The sequence below is a fragment of the Homo sapiens genome, chromosome 4 (genome assembly GCF_000001405.40).
Source record: "Homo sapiens chromosome 4, GRCh38.p14 Primary Assembly".
Classification (NCBI taxonomy): Eukaryota; Metazoa; Chordata; class Mammalia; order Primates; family Hominidae; genus Homo; species Homo sapiens.
In genome coordinates this window covers 62,010,864-62,032,703 of record NC_000004.12, presented here as the reverse complement: position 1 = coordinate 62,032,703, position 21,840 = coordinate 62,010,864, and the positions used below count along the sequence as shown (strand labels likewise).

Here is a 21,840-nt window from a genome sequence, read left to right as displayed (position 1 = left end):
CCAGCAGTCTCTAAAACTAAGAATCCTAGAAAGGGATATCTTTACTTTTTATTTCCTTTGTTTTCCAAAGAAAAATTATAAGTCTTATTGTTTCTTTCCCACAAATTTTAAAACATAATTTTCTATTTCATTTTCAGAGCCATTTCTTTGAATATTTTTAAATTATTTTTACCCCCTCCATGTCACACATGAGTAAACTGAGACATGGGGAGGTTAATTAACTTGCCGAAAGTCACATAAGTTTTTAAATAGAAAAACAGAGATTCAAACCCAGGCAATCTGGCTGAGGGGTCGTTGTGACTGGACCTATCGAGATCACATTTTAAATAAAGTTAAAGTGTATAAGATTGGAAAATCAATCTGGGGATTTTAAAAAAAGTAATAAAAATATTTAGTGTTTAAAATTAACTTTGAAAATTTATATATATATATTATGTCCTTACAAATGTAAACATTTGCAAAAACAGATACATGTAAAAGATTGCATTCTAATAATACAACTCTTAGATTTCATAATAAATGCTTTTAAGGGAAAGAAATATAGATACCATTATTAACTATTCCATCATTCATTCAAAAAATATAAATGTATATTATTTTACCATAAGCTGTGTAAACATTTATATGTTCTAATGTAAACTAGTGTTTGAAGAAACAGAAATATATACACATATACACATGTATATTTCCTATACTGTGATATATATCCATGTGTGTGTGTGTGTGTGTGTGTGTGTGTGTGTGTGTATAACTCATGCCTCCACAACATTTTCAGAAAATAATTACTTCCTAATACACAAATCCATTTGGCCACCAATGGGAATATTAAAGACTATAAAGTCAAATCTATAAGAAAATAATTTTTGTTCACTGTTTAAATCAGAAAATGTTTTTATTGTTTTTTACTATTGGACACTCCCACCAACTATTATGCTTGTATTTTGTGTTTGTTTTGCTTTACTGTTATAAATGATGAGTATCTTTATTTCTTGTAGACAAACATATCAAGAATAATATATTAGAATATGTTGTGGCTGCTTTGCTATCATGAAATGTATGCCATTTTTATTTTAAAAAAAGAATTCTAGCTTACCTTCTTCTGTAGGACACAATGGAAAATAAATATAAACATTCCCTGTAGAGAATTGAAAATGGTGAAGAGATAGGCCATGATGACTGTGCTTTCATTAATATACATGAGTCCAAAGGCCCAGGTCAATCCTAATAGGCAGAGAAGAGCTATTGCACCTATAACCCATGACCTGTAGAGAGAAGAGAAAATTAAGGGTTATTAAATAATTGATCTTTAATTAACAACCATATCAGATCAACAATACGACACTGAAAAAAATGTTACAGTAACTTTTATTGACAGAAAATGTAAGACAGGTGGTGTAAGTACTTTAAGGTTTTAATGAGACTACAAGTTTTCAAGCTTGAGGAGATATATACATGAATGAAAATGTTATGAACACAGAAATTCATTTAAGCAAAAGCAGATTTGTACCATAAATTATTCATGTATTTGCAGCACATATGCAAATGGCATGAGGTGTAATTATGGTGAATGGCAACAGGAAAGCAGGCTATAAAGCTGTTAGTCTTCACTGGTCTCACAGTGGTAACATTTGTTTGATTGATTTCCCTCTATTAGTGCTTCTTCTGATACATTTTTACCTCGCTTTTTCAAAATGTCCTCTTTTTCCACAAAAATTTTATTGTTTACTGACAAAAATATAACTCGTATTAGGAGGAAATACATGGATTTGAAGTACATGTATGAATTTAATGAGCCCCACTTGTCTAATTCTATATTTATAAAGACTAAGCGTGAGGGATAGTAGATGGAAAAAGTAGTTCCACTCTATCGGAAACATTGTTTCTACCCTCCTTCAGGCTTTGGATCACTCACTTCTATGGTATGCTGTAGTAGATTTTAGAAATCAGTCATTTGGAAGCTTTGTTGAAAAAAATTTTGAAGGCTCAGGGAAACTTTTTTGAAGTGTCTGTAAACTCAAGGGAGAAGATGAAGCTGAGAATGAAGATGGGGTGGTATGAATGGAGTAGTATAGAATAAAAGACAAGTTCTCACTCCCACTCCATTCTCTTAGTTTCCTCCAAGATGTCATTTGCAAGAGTATAAGCAGGTAACAAAATTCATATATTTGTGGTTAAGTTATGTATTGAATATCAAGATAAAATGTTCTTGCAACAGATGGGACTCATAACTGAAATGAAATCCTTCTCAACTCCCAAGTATATGGGAGAACAGGACCAAATCAGTAGAGATCGCTATACACTAATAAGCCCAACCTCTTTATTCCCAGCACATCTTCCTTGAATAGGGTAAATTCATATTTCTTTCCAGCAGATTATTATCCTCCACTATAATGACTTAGGAAGATATATTTACAGGGATGGAAACTTTGTAAAATGAAGGGGAAAAATCATATATGTTTATCATAATCTGAAGCTGAGTTCAATTTGTTTTTTAGAGAGAACTGCATCTTAAGAAAGATATGGTCCCAAAGTAGTTAATTATTAAAGTCTTATTAAAAATAATTATAAATATTTACTGTTTTTCTCCCATAACAATCAGCCACTATATTTCATCTTTAAATGCCCACTATATTTAACATGTTTAATTGAAAACATCAACATTCTTGAATAAAAAATCTCTAAGGGAGTTTTGCTATTACATATTACATGTTTGCTTATATGAATTACAAAACATTTTAGGTGTTAATATTTTATACTACAACTGGATTCAGAAGTATACTAACTTTCAAGGAAAAGCTCTCAGCTTCTTATGGACGTTGGAAAAAGAAAAAATAAGAATTGCCATTAAATCAAGGCAATATTGCCATTTAGATTTAAAAACAAAATAATAGGATCAAATACTTAAGTCAGGTATTAACCACTGGAAAACACATGATGGGCCCAAGGGTTAATTGGTAGAAAACTGCAATGAGCCCCGATTTCTAAAAAAAAAAAAAAAACAACAAAAGAAGGAAAGCAGAAGCATGAAGAAGTGAAATGGCACTGGAGAAAAATGAAAACAAAGGACTCTTCACCAGAAGAACAAACTGAAAGTCTATAGCAAGGTTGCCCATAGGTTACCAATCTTAGTTTATTCTTGCAGGACTTGTAATTTTAAAGTATGCATCCGAAAAATGTCTAAATGTTAACATTTATGTTCATATTTGTTAGATTAGTACAGACTTGTAGCTTTATTTCAGACACTGAAATATATTCATACAGATTAGATCATTAATCAAGTGACAGGTGTCAAATTTGAAAGGGATAATTTTGCATATGTAAAAATGAATTTTGAAGAAGGCATTTTTTTCTTTATTTATATTTAGTATAGCAATTCATTAATATCAATTGCAATTGGGTAGTTTTATACCCGTAAGATCATTTTGAAGATATACCAGTAAATGACACAATAATTTTAGATGAATGATGCCCAAACAAACAACAGAAAAGCGGACGTATGTGGCACAGAGGAACACATCACAATGAAAGGGAAGCTATTAAAAGAGAAACAAGTCTGTACCACAGGAAATTGTTATTGCTGTGGCACTGAATTCAGGTGATATCCAATTAACAGAGGTGAAGCAGAATTTTTTTTTGGCAATACACCTGCAGCATATTTATTCTGCATATAGGTTGTATGCCAGATTATTTTCCTGCACAGTTTGCTCTTCTGCCTCTACGTGAATGACAGAAGCTCTAATGATTTTTCAGTACTGATCTGACAGCTGGTTCATGGGACCACACTGATAAACGGAATTTATCAGCCATTCAGGTCATTCTTACTTGATGAAGGGTCTGTTATCCTCATAGCTAAAGAATGCATAGACATAAAGACAAGAACACCAACATTAGCATTTTATGACAAAGAATTTCATATGAAAAATATTCTCCTGGTCCCCAAAGGCCTCTGTCCCCCACCTCCCTAAAAGAAATCATTATCCTTTATATCTAGAAGGTAAATCCTAAAATGACCATGAGAACTTAAATAACAAGAAATAAAAGCAATTTTATAATACTGCAATATCCCTTCTAAGACTCAAAATTCCATTTTTTTATCATGTGCTCATATTACTTGTGACTTGAAAGAGACATTTATTTCTTAGAGATCACATTTCTCTAGAGAATAAGAAATTTTATGAGCAATCTTGGAAAGGCTTGGGGGCATGCTTAAAATGACAGATTTCATGTCACCTAAAGGTATTCTTATTCCGTAATATTAGTAGGTAAGATTACTTAATTATGGACAGTAGGCTTCTAAGTAATTTTAACTTGGAGATGATTGACCTGAGTTAAATCTTAACATTATAGCCCTTAGAAAATAATCTATCTTGAGTACTTTAAAACTCTTTCTGTTTGTGTTCTGAGTAAGATAAACCTGAATAATCTTTTGTAGTAATAGGAACAAACATACAACGCCTGCTTATTTTCACTTATGTTTACTAATTTTTTAATATCATTTGGATAAAATAAGATCCTAATACTCAATTAGTGAAGATAAGGAATGTTTTGGATCAATTTTTATAAATGTATTTTTTGCTTGTGATAAGAAAAAGAAAGAAGAGAAACTGTTCCTTTCTCTTCTCTCTTGCCAGAGGCAAGATAGTTTCCTATATTATGCATACACAAATAAAGCTCCTAGACAGGCTGCAACTGTGATGTATTTTGAATAAAGAGAACCACTGATGAAAACTCACTCTCCAGAATGATGAAATAATAAAGAATGGTATTTGAAGCCAGTTTGCCTGAGGTTTACATCCTAGCTCAGCCACTTACTAGCTACCTATTTGATCTTAGACAAAAATTAATTAACCTGTGGTTGTGTCCTTTTATACATATATAAGATGGTGATAATTATAATGCAAGTTTCTTGTGATAATGAAACAATTTATTATGAATAAAATGCTCAGAACCGTGTCTAACACAAAATGTGTTCAATGAATACTATATACGGTTATTATTATTAGACTATTCAAAGCTAGGGTAAAATCACACCGAAAATACAAAATTTCTCATCCAGAGAATAAAACCCCAAATACATAAATGTTGAGTAAGTAAATTTATTTAAGGATATTTCAGGAGTAATATGATGCAGTAAAATAGATGTGGCTGAAATAAGTTGGTAAACGAAGCAGAGAGTGACTAGAACTGTACGTCCAATGGGGTGATCACTAGTCATGTCTGGCTATTTACATTTACATTCATTAAATGACATTAAGTTTAAAATTCAGTTCCTCAGTCATATCAGTCACAACACAAGTACTCAAAAGCTTCACATAGTAGCTGCCATAATGGACATGTCCATCATCACAGAAAGTTCTATTGGTCAGTACTGGACGGGGACATTCAAAGAGAGTTTTAAGCCAAGAAACGGAAATCCAAGAGATATTTGAATAATGCCATGGATGTGTGAAAGATAAAGAGAGAAGAATTTGTAAGAACTGATGGTATTTAACAGCTGTGAAACAGGCCTAGAAAGAAAAATCCTGTACTTATATTACCATCAAAAATTTATAAAACATAATAATGTGATATTTATTATATTATATGCATTCCCATTGCATCAGTATATTCCATCTGTGATGTCCTGTTCACGATTCGAATAATTCTACCTTAATTCGTATAGTACAATGTCAAGAAAAGAAAGTTACAGAGGTTGACACATAGGCATCCATGCAAAAATGCTCTACAAAATGAATTAAGCTTTGTATAGATTTTAAATACATTTCATTATGTGTATCTTGGATACACAGCATGATGCTATGGGATACATGTAGATAGTAAAACAGTTACTATATTGAAGCAAATTAATGTATCCATCATCTCACATAGTTATCAATTTTTTGTTTGTTTGTTTTTGTAGCAGGGCAGCTAAAATCTACTCATTTAGAGTGAATCCCATACACAATACAATTTTATTACCTATAGCCCTCATGTACCTTATGTCTCTAGATTTGTTCATCCTCCATATCTGCTACTTTGTTTCCTCTGACCTACATCTCCCCATTTCTTTCCCCTGCCCCTGTGTTTTGTTCTCTATCTCTGTACTATAAAAACGTTTTTAAAAATTAAAATACAAAGTTTGCAATGGTGAGGTGACATATTTTTTATTTTTAATATGAAATATCAAAAAATAGAGATATCAGGGTGCAATTCAGCAGTTTTTATCAACTGGTGGGGACCATTTAGTTGCTCCATTTAATAAAGACAACAGCAACTCCAGCTTCACTTATACTTTGCTATAGTTATATGTAGAAGTAGCGTCCACAGAGATGTGGCCACAAGTGAACTGTGACATTTCTGGGTGTTGTCAATTAAAGGATTGGAATTGGTCTCCTCTTTACAATTTGCTGCTGTCCTTTGACTAGAAGAAAGTGATGCAGAGCCTTAGGCATCAAAATGGAAGCTGCTTATTTATGTGGAGCTGAAATATTAGGTTTAGACTGCCTACTATGAGACTCTCACAAAACAGAGTTTAAGGCACAATATTTTAGAATTTTTTTACGGTGGCTTGATTTGTGCAATAATTAACAAAGCATTTATTTTATCCCAAAAATGAGATAAGTAATATATAATGATTTAAAATCTAAAGATCACTAAAGATTACCTAGGATATGTCAGTACCCTCCATAATTTTTGTCAAATATTCTACTGGCCTAGATAATCTAGTTTTATAGTTTTCTCTAGCAAATCCAAATTAAATTGATGGTAATGTTGCCATGCTGTTGATTCCTTTTAATTTGAAAAAGCAGATCCACAGAACTAGTTTCTATAGCTGAATAATTTTTATTATGTTTTACTAATGATAATCCATTTAAACAAAATACCGTTACAGGTTGTATGACTAAAACAATTTTACTGGAGTATATTTAAGAATTTTGTAAAAATGTGGATGCAAAGGCCTAATATGTTCTTAGCAGATGTTAAGAGGAACTTATAGGTTTACCTTATCATTTATAAGTAGTGACTTACAGATTTCTCAAGATAAAACTATTCCTCATAGAAGAAAAAACAGGTAATATATACTAACGCATCTGTATGTTGAGTGGGCTTTTCCTCAATCAACAACGAGGCCTCCAAACTGAGGACTAAGAAGATTCAGTTACCCATATTCGAAAAGGAGCCAGCAGTAACCTGAGATAAAGGACTTCCACAAGCTTTACTTGATCTAAGAGACACTGCTTTGCCATACTACCAGGCCAGGTGCTCCAAGTCCTTATAAATGCAAGGGGACAAACAAGACCATTTTAGGATTGTAGTGTTCACAGAATATATTAAATAGTAGAAAGAAGAAACAACTTTTCTTATACTAATCCCCTAGTCACAGATCTTAGCAGGCAGTGGAGGAAGAATGTTTTACGTGGGATATGTTATTAAAGTTTTAAGTTGGTCAGACATATAATAACACGAATAGCTTGGCAACATTACAATGTATATCTAAAATAGCAGTAAGTGATCTGCTACCCAGTGGTTTAAGGATATTTAAGATAGCATAGCTAGATTAGTGAGCAGAAAAAAAATCTAAACATTTCATCTTTTATTCTATTACATTAAAAATGTTCAATCAAATGGTTATACTTATGATAGAAATCTTGACAGCTTAATATTTCCTCCAAATGTACCTTATGTTGATGGGACTATACCATCCTGAAATTATATTATTATATTTGTTCTTTGTTCATCACTATAGGAAGAATAAAAATAAAAGGCATTCAGAATTTTTTTTTTTTTTTTTTTTGAGACGGAGTCTCACACTGTCGCCTGGGTTAAAGTGCAATGGCACAATCTCGGCTCACTGCAACCTCCACCTCCCGGGTTCACACGATTCTCCTGCCTCAGCCTCCTGAGTAGCTGGGAATACAGGCGCATACCACCACACCAGGCTAATTTTCTGTATTTTTAGTAGACACAGGGTTTCACTATGTTGGACAGACTGGTCTCAAACTCCTGACCTTGTGATCCGCCCGCCTCGGCCTCTTAAAGTGCTGGGATTACAGGCGTGAGCTACCGTGCCCAGCCTGGCATTCAGAATTTAATTCAATGGTTCTGAGTAAAATATTAATAATTTTTCTCTATGGTCATAAATAAATAAGCATTAAAGATATTAAAAATTCTTCAAAAACATGAAAGTCACATAATATACATGTAAACATTATAAATGACAGAGATTATTATATTTCAACTATGAATTTTATTACCATTTAAGTATTACTACCAAAAGCTATATTCCTATGTTTTGTTCATAGGAAATGTATTAAGAGGAGAATGAAATGAACCAAATAAATAAAATAAATGGTTTAGAATACATCACAAACATTTTAGAATATATCATAAATATTTTATCCCTATGACTCAATGATCCATATCAATATTGCAAATTTGAAGGCAAAACACCAATATTAAACTTTAAATAATAGATTGTGTGCTGCTTATGAATCAGGTTAAGTCTGAAATTAGGAAAAACTGAGTATAATAAATTAAGACCAATAAATATCAGATCAATGACAGATAAGATTTTATTTTCTCTACAACTCAATGTTATACAAATTATGTTTCCTCTACAAGTCAATGTTATATAAGTTTCTTTAACTCAATATATTAATACTATCAAAGAATTAATTTATATGTGAGAGAAGTTAAGGGTATCAATAAGGAGAATGAATAATGAAGTATTAAGTTGTACTTCATTTATACAATTAAATACTTATTAGAATTCAGTATCCCTCTCTATCAGATTTACAAAAATGAATTGGTAGGTTGCATGCAAATAAGATGCAGGCATACCTGAGAGATACTGCAGGCTCAGTTCCAGACCATCACAATAAAGTGAGTCACAAATTTGGGGATTTCCCAGTGCGTATAAAAGTTATGTTTACATTATATTGTAGTCTATTAAGCACGCAATAGAGTAAAACACTATACATACCTTGATTTAAAAATACTTTATTGTTAAAAAAAAGTTACCATATTCTGAGGCTTCAGCGAGTTCTAATATTTTTGTGATGGAGAGACTTGTCTGGATGTTAAAAGCTGCTGAATGATCAGGGTGATGAGTTGCTAAGGGTTATGGGAGCTATGGAAATTTCTTAAAATAAGACCACAGTGAAGTTTGCCACATCGATTAACTCTTCCTTTCCTGAAAGATTTCTCTGTAGTATGTCATGCAGTTTGGTTGCATTTTACTCACAATAGAACTTCTTTCAAAACTGAAGTCAATCCTCTCAAACCTTGTTGCTGCTTTCTCAACGAAATATGTAATATTCTAAATCCTTTGTTGTCATTTCAACAATGTGCACAGCATCTTTACCAGGAGTAGATTCTATCTTAAGAAACCACTTTCTTTGCTCAACTGTAAGAAGCAACTCTTCACATATTAAAATTTGATGATGAGATTGCAGAAATTTATTCACATCTTCAGGATCCACTTCTACTTCTAGTTATCTCGCTATTTCCACCACATCTGCAGTTATTTCCTCCACTAAAGTCTTGAACTCCTCATTCACCCACAAGGGTTGGACTCAAATTCTTCCAAAATCCTATTGATGTTAACATTTTTACTCCTCCCATGAATCACAAATGTTCTTAATGACATCTAGAATAGTGAATACTTTCCAGAAGGTTTTCAATTTTCAATTTAGTTTGTCCAGATCCATCAGAGGAACCACTATCTATGGCAACTATAGCCTTAAAAAACTTATTTCTTGAGTAATAAGACTTTAAAGGAGAAATTACTCATTGATCCATGGGCTGCAGAATGGAGGTTGTGTTAGCAGGTATAAAAATATTAATCTCCTTGTATATCTCTATCAGAGCTCTTGGGTGACAAGGTGCCTTGTCAGGGATCAGTAATATTTTGAAAGAATTTTTTTTTTTTTTCTGAGCAGTAGGTCTCAACATGGGCTTAAAGTATTCAATAAACCATGCTGTAAACAGGTGTGCTGTCATGCAGGCTTTGTTGTTCCATTTATAGAGCACAGGCAGGGTAGATTTAACATAATTCTTAGGGATTTTCAGAATGATAGTAAGCACTGGCTTCAACTTACATTCACCAGTTGCATTATCTCCTAACAAGAGAGTCAGTCTATTATTTGAGGATTAGAAGCCTTGAAGCCAGACATTGACTTCTTCTCTCTAGCTAATAAAGTTCCAGATGGCATCTTGTTCCAATAGAAGGCTGTTTTGTCTACATGGAAAATCTGTTGTTTAGTGTAGCTGCCTTCATCAATGATCTTAGCTCTATCATCTGGATAATTTGCTGCAACTTCTACATCAGCACTCTCTGCTTCATCTTGCAGTTCCATGTTATGGAGCTGGCTTCTTTCCTTAAATCTCATGAACCAGCCTCTGCTACCTTCAAACAAACTTTTCTTCTACAGCTTTCTCACCTCTCTCAGCCTTCATAGAACTGAAGAGAGTTAGGGCCTTGCACTGGATTAGGCTTGGCTTTAGAGATTGTTGACATTGGTTTGATCTTCTAACAAGACCACTAAAACTTTTGAGGCAATAAGGCTATTTTGCTTTCTTATTATTCATGTGTTCAATAGATTAGTACTTTCAATTTCCTTCAAGAACCTTACTTTGCATTCACAACTTGGCTAACTGTTAAAGAGGATTGGCTTTCAGCCTATCTCAGCTTTCGACATGCCTTCCTCACTAAGCTTAATGGTTTCTAGCTTTTGATTTAGAGTGAGAGACACTTTCTTTCACTTGAACACTTACAAGCCATTGCAGGGTTATTAATTGGCCTAATTTCAATATTGCTGTGTCTCAGGGAAGAGGGGAACCCAAGGAGAGGCAGAGGAAAAGACAGAAGAACAGCTGGTCGGTGGAACAGTCAGAACACACACATTTATTGACTAAGTTTGCTGTCTTATATGGGTGAGGTTCATGGGGCCCTAAAATAATTACAACAGTAACATCAAAGATCAGTAACCACAGATAACCCTAACAGATATAATAATAATGAAAAAGTTTGATATATTGTGAGAATTACCAAAATGTGACATAGATCTATGAAGTAAGCACATGCTGTTGGAAAAATGGCACTGATAGACTTGCTTGAAATAGAGTTGCTACAAACTTACAATTTGTAAAAAATGCAATGTCTGGGAAGTATTAATACAAAAAAGAGAAGCACAATAAAATGAGGTATGCCTGTATGCAATTTTTGAGTCTTATGTTTGAATAAAATAATAATATCATTCCATGATTATTTATTAATATTAAAGTATGAAACACTATGTCAGTGACTGAAAACATGGACGTGCAAACCAGCCTGCCTGAATTTGAATGCCAGCCAAGCATTTTAATAACTCTGCAATGTTTCGCTAATTGCACCTCATAGCCCTCTTCTGTGAAGTGGGGATACATGCTGAAGTTCCTTCACAGGACCATTGTGTGTATCAAGTAAAAGATCTTGGTAGTTTTATTTGCTACACAAAATTATGCAAATATACAAACTTTAATGTGCAAAAGTACTATATAAATATTTGCTATTATAATTGCTGTTGTGTATTGACCTTCGGACCTCAAAAAAGGGGTTGTAGGAAAAAATACACGATTCTGTATTAGGTTTTTTTTTAAAGTATTTTGGAAATTATATATTAAGTGTAAATACAAAGAAGATGAAGGAGACACTGTCTCTGAGTTGATCTTTAATACATACATTTAAAGGGCCTCAGTTTATATAAAGTAGCATTTTCTTTTAGATTATTAGTTTAAGTTTAGTAAATGCTATGAATTTTCATACTCTGAATTGAAATGGAAGTATTTCCAAAATTCCTAATGAACATTAAAAGAGATAACCAAAGTACTTTAGTTTACATGAGAAATCTAAGTTTAACTCATATTATATCCTTAGTGATGAAAAGTCCACTATATGACGGCAATGTTCTACTAAGTGCAATCATTTGACTATAAAGCATAAGACATAACATCACATGTGGAATGTTCCTAAAGATTCAATTAGAAATTTAAGTTCCAGAATTTGATCGTTTAATGTTTTTTTCTTATGACTTTTCAAAACTTTGAAATTTGAATAGGAAAAATGAAACAAATGAGAAGATGCCTGTATATACACATTTATATTTGTTTTTATTTTGTAATCAGTGAAAACTTACTTTAGTCAGTAACACTTCAAGATCCATAAAATATTTTTAGCAAGTTGACATACCTTACTTATTGATATTTATGATTAAAATTTACAATGTTTCCTGGTTCACTTTTGGAGGTCCAGTATTTTCTACTTATATTGAGCCTTGAATTCCTTAGAACCTATAACTGTGGGGCTGATAAAGTAGGGTCATTGGAATGTAAAGAGATGAAGTACTTTAAGGACTGTATTACCTACTCTCAGGATTTCTTTTTTCCACTAAGAGAATATACAAACTTTTAATTTAAGTAAAATAAGTCAAGAAATTAATAACTTTTTGTAATCCTTGCCAAACATGCTCTGACTGGGTGAAATTCTGTTATATTCTTTTTCATACTGTATGGGATTTTCACCTCTCTTTTCACCAACTTCCAACAGAAACATTCATTGAATAAACAACAGATTATAAACTGCTTGGGAGAATAACTAGAACACAAGAAAAGCACAACTCAGTATTTAAAATACATCTGTACTAACTAAAGATTCCAACAAATTGAACCATCAAAGGCACTGCAGCACAGTTGGAAGCAGGCAAGGTTTATTTAATTTTGGAAGTATCTTATCCTTTATAAGCCTCAGTTTTCTCGCCTCCACAATAAATAAGATAATCTCACTGGGATCTTTTTAGAGTTGAGTAGACTCAAGAAAAGAATATTCGATAGTTCTTAAAAAGTTATAAATTAGTAAAAGCTTTTGAAGTATACTCTGAATTATTGAATTTATCATTTATATGGAACAGTGAATGTCCATTGTCATTTTTCTTGTAAAGATTTTGAAAAAAATTACACTGCACATCTACTGCACAAGAGCTATTATTGTGTCAGTGAGCAGACCTGATTAATTACTTAAGAGCTCTATCTCAATTCTGCTTTTAATACAGAAGCCCAATGAGATATAATTATTCCTAATTCAAATTGTTAAAAGAAATTGAAAGATAATCTTCTTAAAAAAGTCAATGAGAAAAACATTAAGAAATATTATAGAACATTTAAACAAAATAATAATTCAAATTTTATAAATACATAAAAAGCTACATCACAAAATAAAAAATCTTAAATCAAACATATTCTAAGCCAAATGACAGCTTCAGAAATGTGCTAAGAATTAACATCAATTGGAGTTTACTCTCTGATGATAATAAAGTTAAATTAGATACCAATAACTAATAAAATATGTATATATGCATATGACTACATGACAATTATCCATTTGCTGCTCTCTCTAAGAAAGCCTCAAGCCCCACAACACTTAGCAAATAAGTTCTACCTAAAACTCAACGAATAATTCTTCTTCTAATCTAGATTAGGCCTAAATGAAAAAAGAAAAACTTTTATATATATATAAAGGATTTAAAAATTCAAATTTAGAAAAGCAAATGTAAAATGGCTTGGGCTTACAAAACCAGAAGTTATAATTACCTGTGAATAGTGAGAGATAAATCATAGAACCATTTTGATTACAAATCCAAAGTAATGTTAATGTTGGTTACAGAGTCACTTTCCTGCTCCACTGATAAGAGTCCAGGTGTTAAATTGTACATATGCCCACTGCTACGCAAACTCCTTCATCTTGTTCTCTTCAGTGTTTCCACACCCCAGCTGCATCACACACATGAGGCACATCTTCCCTTTCATAGAGCATATCAGGATGGTATCTCCTTTTGGCTTACATCAACCACCTTCTGTTTACAAATACCGTACCTACTGCCCCCAGTGCCTGAATTCTTCCAAGTCTTTTGCTTCCACAGACAGCCTCCCTCAGCCCCAGTTCCAGCAGGACAGGCCTTCCTCTGAAAGGAAAGCTGGGGCAATGAGGTCACACTAGTCAGCATTCCGTCCTTCCTACGCCAATCCCAGCTGGGCTCCTACTTGTCTGCCACCTTCGCACTCAAGAAAGTTATATTGTTCTTCTCTCTCTCTCTCTTCCTCATTTCTTGCCAGTATTCTGCCTTTTCCTGACATCTATGCCTACAAAATATCTGGTCATTCCTAGGTCTTGTCTTGCACAGACTTTCATTAATAATTGAGTGATTGCAATCACCACTGCGATGCTGAAAATCTCTTGGTCTTTTCTCCTCTAAATCTGTATCTACTTCAATGAAACTGAGTCTCTTCTGGGAACCAGGAGTCTTATATCAGAGACTCCTCTCCTGACACCCTCAGTCTCCTAACTGATCTACTCAATAAGAATCTGTTATCCTGAGATGCCTACTGCTCTGCAAACTCTAGTAAGAACACAACACAAAGCTCTTGAGAGCTCTGTCTTTTCCTCTGCTTTTAATACGCCTAGACTCCATCACAGGGAGCCAAGGAAGCACCTGCTGGCCTTTGGGATGTCTATTAAGATCTAGCACCTACCAGGTTAAAGTGTGTCATCCATAACTAGTTATATTTTATGACCTCCGTGCAGTACATGTTGCAGCACTGCTCAATTTGCAAACAGTGAAATTTTTCAGGAATCTATATTCTTTTGAATCTCTCATCTTAAGTGCCAGCCTCTTATTAGCATTAAAATGCTCTACTTTGAATTACTTGAACCCGGGAGGCTGGGGGTTGCAGTGAGCCAAGATCACGCCACTGTACTCCAGCCTGGGTGACAGAGCGAGACTCCATCTCAAAATAGAAACAAGAAAAAACAAAAAAAACAAAGCTCTACTTTTGGTATGTCCACATTAAATGCTCAACAAAGGGTTACTTAGAGAAAACATGGAAGATTTCTTTAAGAAAGGAACCATGCTTTCTTCTCCAGCACAGCCAGTGGGTTGAAGGCCTACTTCTCCTTTCCATTCTTTCAAGAAAAACTTGAATGAGTCTACTCATAAAAGTTTTTATAATATATTTTTTGTCCTCTGAAACTATCTTTACCAGGACAAAAAAATATCCTTACCAGAGTACAAACAATACATTATACTAACATTTCACTTCAGAACTTAGTTAAAAGCCTTAAATAAGCTATTAAATAACAAAATGTAATGGTGCATAAACATCATAATCAATTAAGATTTATTCCAGACAGTAAAGAGAGTTAAATCAATCATGTCACTTACTTCATAGTCTAATAGTCTAAAAAAAAAAAACTCCCAAGTAAATTAAAAAAAACTATTTATGAACTTTAGTATTTTTCAAGAAAATACAAAACAATTTAGAAAACTAGTATATAGTAGTTTCCTTAACTTGGTGGAATCATTCATTTTTTAAAAAAAAATTCATAGCAAATATTATATTTAATGGGAAAACTTCAATATGTGTATTTTTAAACTTCAGGACCCAAGTAAGGATGTAGGTTATCCTGGGACCTGCTCAATTGCGATCCAAATCAAATACCAAAATAAATAAATAACTGGTATAAACCTTAGAAGTATAGAGATAATTTTTAACTTATTATTTAAGTATGATATCATCATCTCCATAGAAAACACAAATGAGTGCAGAGAAAAGTTGTTCTATCTATTTAATAATGTTCAATACATTTGTCAGATATAAGATCAACATGCAAAAATCAGTAATATTTTCTTACTTAGTAATAATAAACTAAAAAATTAAAGGGAAATTAGATATCATACCTAATAGCAACAAAACAAAAAGAATCTATATACAAATTAACCCAGCAAAGAATGAATGGACATTAATGGAGAAAAATCTTAAAAACCTATAAAAGGATATAATGGAAGGCCTCAACAAAAGAAGATATAGACGTGTGTATGAATGGTATGACTTAACCTCATAAAGATACCAGTTATTACAACATAATCCATATATTTAATGTAATTCTAATTAAAAAAGACAAACATATTGAAAGAATTTTAACAACTGATTCTGAAATTTATGTGAAGAAATAAAAAAAATTCCTGAGTAGCTAAAACAGTTTTGCAAGAGATGATCAAAATGGGAGGATTCGCCCTACCAGATATTAAGCAAGTTCTAGTAATACTGTAGTAATGATAGAAAAACATAAAGTATGCCCATGGAACAGAAGAGAAAGCACAGAAACAGATTTAATGTAGGATACTGTGGTAGCATCAATGTTCAGAAAAAGGATGGATTATTTAGCAAATGGTGTTGGAAACTTAGCTCATTACATAAAGAAATGGAAAATATCCTTCAAAGAGATTAAAGATTGTAACACGAATTGTAAAACTGAGACAAATAAAATATAGAATAGAAAATAAAAGGACGGGCGTGGTGGCTTATGCCTGTAATCCCAGCACTTTGGGAGGCCGAGGGGGGCAGATCATGAGGTCAAGAGATGAAGACCATCCTGGTCAACATGGTGAAACCCCATCTCTACTAAAAATACAAAAATTAGCTGGGCATGGTAGTATGTGCCTGTAGTCCCAGCTACACGGGAGGCTGAGGCAGGAGAATCGCTTGAACCTGAGAGGCGGAGGTTTCAGTGAGCCGAGATCAGGCCACTGCACTCCAGCCTGGTGACAGAGCGAGACTCCATCTCAAAAAAGAGAAAAAGAAAAAGAAAAGAAAAGAAAAAAGAAAATAAAAGGGAATGAAGGGAAAAATAAAATTTTAAATTCTTAGTTTAAAAGGATTTCAGTTAAAAGACTTTGAAAGCGTATACCTTAGAGGAAAAAGTTGATAGTTTATATATTATAAATTATATACTTATTTATATTTGTACCAAAAGGAAAAATTAACAGAGAGGTAACAGACTTGAAGAAGATATTTGTAATAGCAAAAGCATTCAAAATGTATATCAGCAAGTAAAAGAAAAAGGAAAGGGAAGCTAACAGAAAAAAGTGGAAAAAATGAAAACCATTAAAGAAGAGAGAGAGAAAATCTAGTAGAAACAAATAGGCACACAAGTTTTACTAAAATGTCCCTGTGAAAATTAAGGGATATGCACATTATTAAAACTTACAGAATGGGAGATCTGGCAATTTTAGAAACCTTTCCACAGCTAATTGTGCAAGATGCAGTAAATTCAATGGAGGCAGAAAAATCAGAGCACTGTGATGATGACTATTACAAAGAAAATGTGCTACCTTTTGAGTCATATCTTGGTATGTATAATATATTATCTAATATTGTCAATACTTGTGCTAATAAATTGTTCCTTTTTATGCTCATGGGTTATTATCTTAATCTCATAATTAAATAGTTTTAAATTATAGCCTTAGACTGTCAATCTCAGTTGCGGAACAAAGAGGGTTTTTGAGTTAGCACATTGAAGTATCTGGTTTAAAATATCGACTTCCATAGGCAGCAATCCAGAGTATTGCAGAATGCATGCTAAAGTAGCACATTTATAAAAGTGCCAGGGACCTTGATGACAGACCTTTTTAGAATACATAGCTGTATGTAGTGGAGAAAACCAGCAACAATTGGTTCTCAGCCAAGAGAAAATTAGATTAGGAAATTTTCAAGTGAGGACTGAGCGGCTCAAGATGCTTAACACTCCACTATACTGTCTGCACATTTTAATTACAAATCCAATGATTTAATACAGTCTTTTGTCTTAGGTAACTCTGACTTGTATACTTTCAGCACTTTTCAAATGAGGTAAAGAAAAAATAGCATTTTAAAACCAAGTAACACTCCTGCTGGAAACCACTGCCGAAAAATAGGAGAATGAGAAAAGCTGAAATCTGTTACCTTATTGTTGTTTTGCTTAAAGGGGAGGTATTTGCTTGGAATTGGGGAAACTGATAAGCACCTGGAGTATGGTGACACGTTAGGCATTCCATTTGTGTAATCCACTAACCTTTGTGGTGATTAATTTGCTAATCAGTGATCATCTGTGGTAACTTCAATGATAGAGCATTTTACAGACTCCTTTTACGAACAGTGGTAAAATTGAACAGCTTGAGCCATGATTCTCAAGATTTATGTATAACAGTATTTTCTGGAATTTGGGGAGAATGTGTATGTATCTAAAGCAAAGCAGAAGTAGTGTTCTCACCCATCTATGGGGCTTTTCTATTGCTAATGAGTGGGATTCTATTGCCCAAGATTGTAAGTGACTGCATGAATATAGTAAGTAATGAATTTAGGCAACAAAAATTATAAAAAACTTGTATTATAGGCTATTCCTTCCATTCTTCTGACATTTTTGTATACTTCCTAGACCAACTAATTTTCTACCATTTCCCTTTCTCCCCACAAATTATATCCTGTAATTTGAAACTCATGGTCCAAACTCAACAAATTCCCTTATACCCTAAACTTCATTTTTGGGTGTTTCTGTCACCTACTGCTTTTAAGTGAAATTGTTGCCCACTGGCAGCACTTTCCCTGAGGAGCACACAAACTCAAAGGATTGGTTCTCTCCCATCCCTCAGGTGGTGGAAGTGCCATCACCAGATCATGATTTCCCCAGTGTAAAAACCCCAAATCCTCTGAGGTTTTGCCATGAGCTATTTACTACTATCTTCTTGTTTTGGTAACTTGAACATTCCTAGACCTCTTCTTCTTCTGTCTCTCCATCTTTTCACTACATTATCACCCAATTCATGTTCATACCTTCCCCCATGACCAGCCCAGATACTATGACCATTTACTTTCTTATATCCCCTCTCCTCTTTAATGATTTGAAAAAAACACACACACATATTGAAGTAGCTGAATAATGCTGAAGAAAAAACAAAACAAACAAACAAAAAAAAAATTTTTTTTTTTTGAGACAGAATCTCACTCTGTCACCAGGCTGAAGTGCAGTGGTGCGATCTCGGCTCACTGAAACCTCCGCTTTCCGGGTTCAAGCGATTCTCCTGCTTCAGCCTCCTGAGTTGCTGGGACTACAGGCATGCGCCACCATGCCCAGCTAATTTTTGTATTTTTAGTAGAGACAGGGTTTCACCACATTGGCCAGAATGATCTCGACCTCTTGATCTCGTGATCCGCCCACCTCAGCCTCCCAAAGTGCTAGGATTACAGGCATAAGTCACCATGCCCGGCCGTTTTTTGAAGACATGTTAAATTCATAACAACAAATTTCTTTCTTTCTTTCTTTCTTTTTTTTTTGAGATGGAGTTTCACTCTTGTTGCCCGGGCTGGAGTGCAACAGTGTGATCTTGGCTCACTGCAACCTCCGCCTCCCAGGTTCAAGTGATTCTCCTGCGTCAGTCTCCTGAGTAGCGGGGATTACAGGTGCGTGCCACCATGCCTGGCTAATTTTTGTATTTTTGTAGTAGAGATGGGGTTCCACCATGTTGGTGAGACCATGTTGGTCTTGAACTCCTGACATCAGATGATCTGCCCTCCTCGGCCTCCCAAAGTGCTGGGAATACAAGCGTGAGCCACTGCGGTGCCCAGCCTATAACAACAAATTTCTAATGGCAATTAACAATATCTGAAGGCCAATCATACTTCCCCAGTGCATATGATTTCCCGTTCCCCATCAGGAATATTTCAGAATTCCAAACCTCTTTCCCATCACAACTCCCTCAGCTGAATATTTCCTAGTTTCTTGAAAAAATGGAAACAATCTGACAGTCGCAAATGTTTGCACTGTCCAAACCTGTCAATTTCTTGTACAGCTCCCAAACTCATCCCCAGCTGCTGCTCCCTTTGATTCTTGGCTTCCATGACATGTTGTTTTTACATTTACCTCAGTGACTTTTCTTCCCAAGTCATCTTCACCAGAACAATATTCTTCTTGAGTAGTTTCACTCAGTAATTAACTTTACATACTAATAACGCTGAAATCCCTGTCTCTCATCCTGAGAAGATTACTGTACACTAAGATACCTCATAATTGCATTCTGCTGGCCAGATTTTATAGTTCATAATCTAAAATATTAATATAATCATAGGTGTTAAACACAGGGCCCTTAACGATCATTGCTATCCAGTCAATATCAGGATTAAAGCTTTTTGAGCATGGCCTAGAAAATTATCTAAACTGATATGTTTACTGAAATGGCAATCTCTTAAAAATTAAACACATTTTACTAGATTTATAGGTATGCAATTTGATGTGACAAGGAGTATATCTAAGAGTTAAGTAAATGGACAGTGAAGCCAGACTATCTGTTGAAATCCTGGTTCTGGCACTAACTAGCTCTGAGGTTTGAGGTGAGTTAATTAACCTCTCAGAAACCTCAAAGGATTATTGCAAAGATTAAATAAATTACCACATGTAAAGAACTTAGAACAGTGCCTAGCACATAGTAAAACGTCAATGAACTAACTATTCTTATTATTTTGCACACATTTTCCAAATAGACACAATATTTAAAATTCAAGTTGATGTTTAATCAGGAGCAGAGATTACAGTTGATATGAGGGCAGAACCAGGGAGCACCTGTCTTTTACTTCAGAATCTATGACTACGTTTTGAGTATGTGACTCAAAATACAGTGGAATGTTTAACTTCAATGCCTCACAAAGTTTCACTTTATCTCCAAGAAGCTTTAAAAAGAGGTTGGTTTGAATTTGGAGGCCCAAAGTCTTTCAGTCTAACATCACTTATTCAAGCTCTCTCACAACAAATTTTTTAAGTCAGCAAATTTTGGTCAATTTTCACATAAAATTATATATATTAATACATATAATCATTGTACTAAATAAAGCCCTCAATTTAAAATAAGTTGTGTCATTTTAAAGAAAGCTATGTTAGGAAAAAAAAATGTATTCCTAGCTGGTTTTTGTTATAGCAGCCAAGCCAAACTCCTAAAAACCACAAGATTATGTTATCAAAGAGATTTCATGTTTATTTCACTTAGCCTTTAGAAGAAATTGTATTTTCTGATTAAGACTTTTAAGAACTTTGACTTTAAGTAATAACTAACTGGTGAAAAATTGGCTTTTATATTTTAAAAAAGTTTTGTTCATTTTTCTGAAAACCGTATTCAAACAAACAAAAAAAGACATGCTTAGAAATAATTAGAAAGAGATTTATTTGATACAGATCCAGACATACTACGCTAAAATATGATGCCTTTGGATTTGAGAAAACAGCAAAAGTAGGAAGGTCTCTTTGACGTTCCCCTCACCCTTCTCCTCTGAAATAGACCATAAAAGAATTCTCTGACCTTTCTCTCTGAAGTAGATCATAAGACACTTACCCCAGAGATAACCGCCCTATACCGAGAGGAAAGGAACATTTTTATACTCTAAGACATAGAGACACCCACAATAATCTGAATAAAAAGGCCTTGCTAAGCTCTCCTCAGTTTATTAACATTGAATCGTAAGCTTTTGTCTTCCAATCATATTTCTCCACATATATCCACTTCTTCATCAAACTTACTAAAAAAATTCCCAAGTTTAATTGTGTTCCTTGAGTCTCCATTTCCGAAAGCTCTCATAACATGTAAAACTTGTAATAAATAAATTTGTATGCATTTATCTTGTTAATCTTTAGTCATAGGAGTCTCAGCCATGAACCTAGTGATGGGTGAGAAAAGAAATTTTTTCTCCCCTATGGAATCAAATACTTTATTTTTGAATGTACAGTTCCAAATCTTATTTCTTGTGTAGTTGTTTAGGAGCTGAAACTACGCTAAAATAAATAAGCTAAAAAGTTTATGAAGTCATTTTAGGATATTTTTGAGTTTTACCTATAGCGCATGAGATTCAATTTTACAAGTTGAAACTAAATATCATTAAAGATATGAACTTGGTTTTGAAACTTTATTCTAAAGTTTAAAATCCAAGGTAAATAAACAGCAATTACCTTTTAAAAGTGAATAAAAAAGT

General features: G+C 33.7%; 1 protein-coding gene across 59 annotated transcripts in view; it reads right to left on the bottom strand.

Moving 5' to 3' along the window:
* ADGRL3 (adhesion G protein-coupled receptor L3) overlaps positions 1-21,840 on the bottom strand; it is an 878,010-nt gene that overhangs the window by 45,632 nt on the left and 810,538 nt on the right. For 34 of the 59 annotated variants that reach the window (NM_001387522.1, NM_001371343.2, NM_001387524.1 and 31 more), the window contains one exon: positions 1,094-1,262. In NM_001387522.1, coding sequence (NP_001374451.1) covers positions 1,094-1,262 — 169 coding nt within the window. Of the gene's footprint in view, positions 1-1,093; positions 1,263-3,822; positions 3,850-21,840 lie in introns of all 59 variants that reach the window. The other 25 variants (NM_001387552.1, NM_001322402.3, NM_001387523.1 and 22 more) reach the window with 1 other exon arrangement.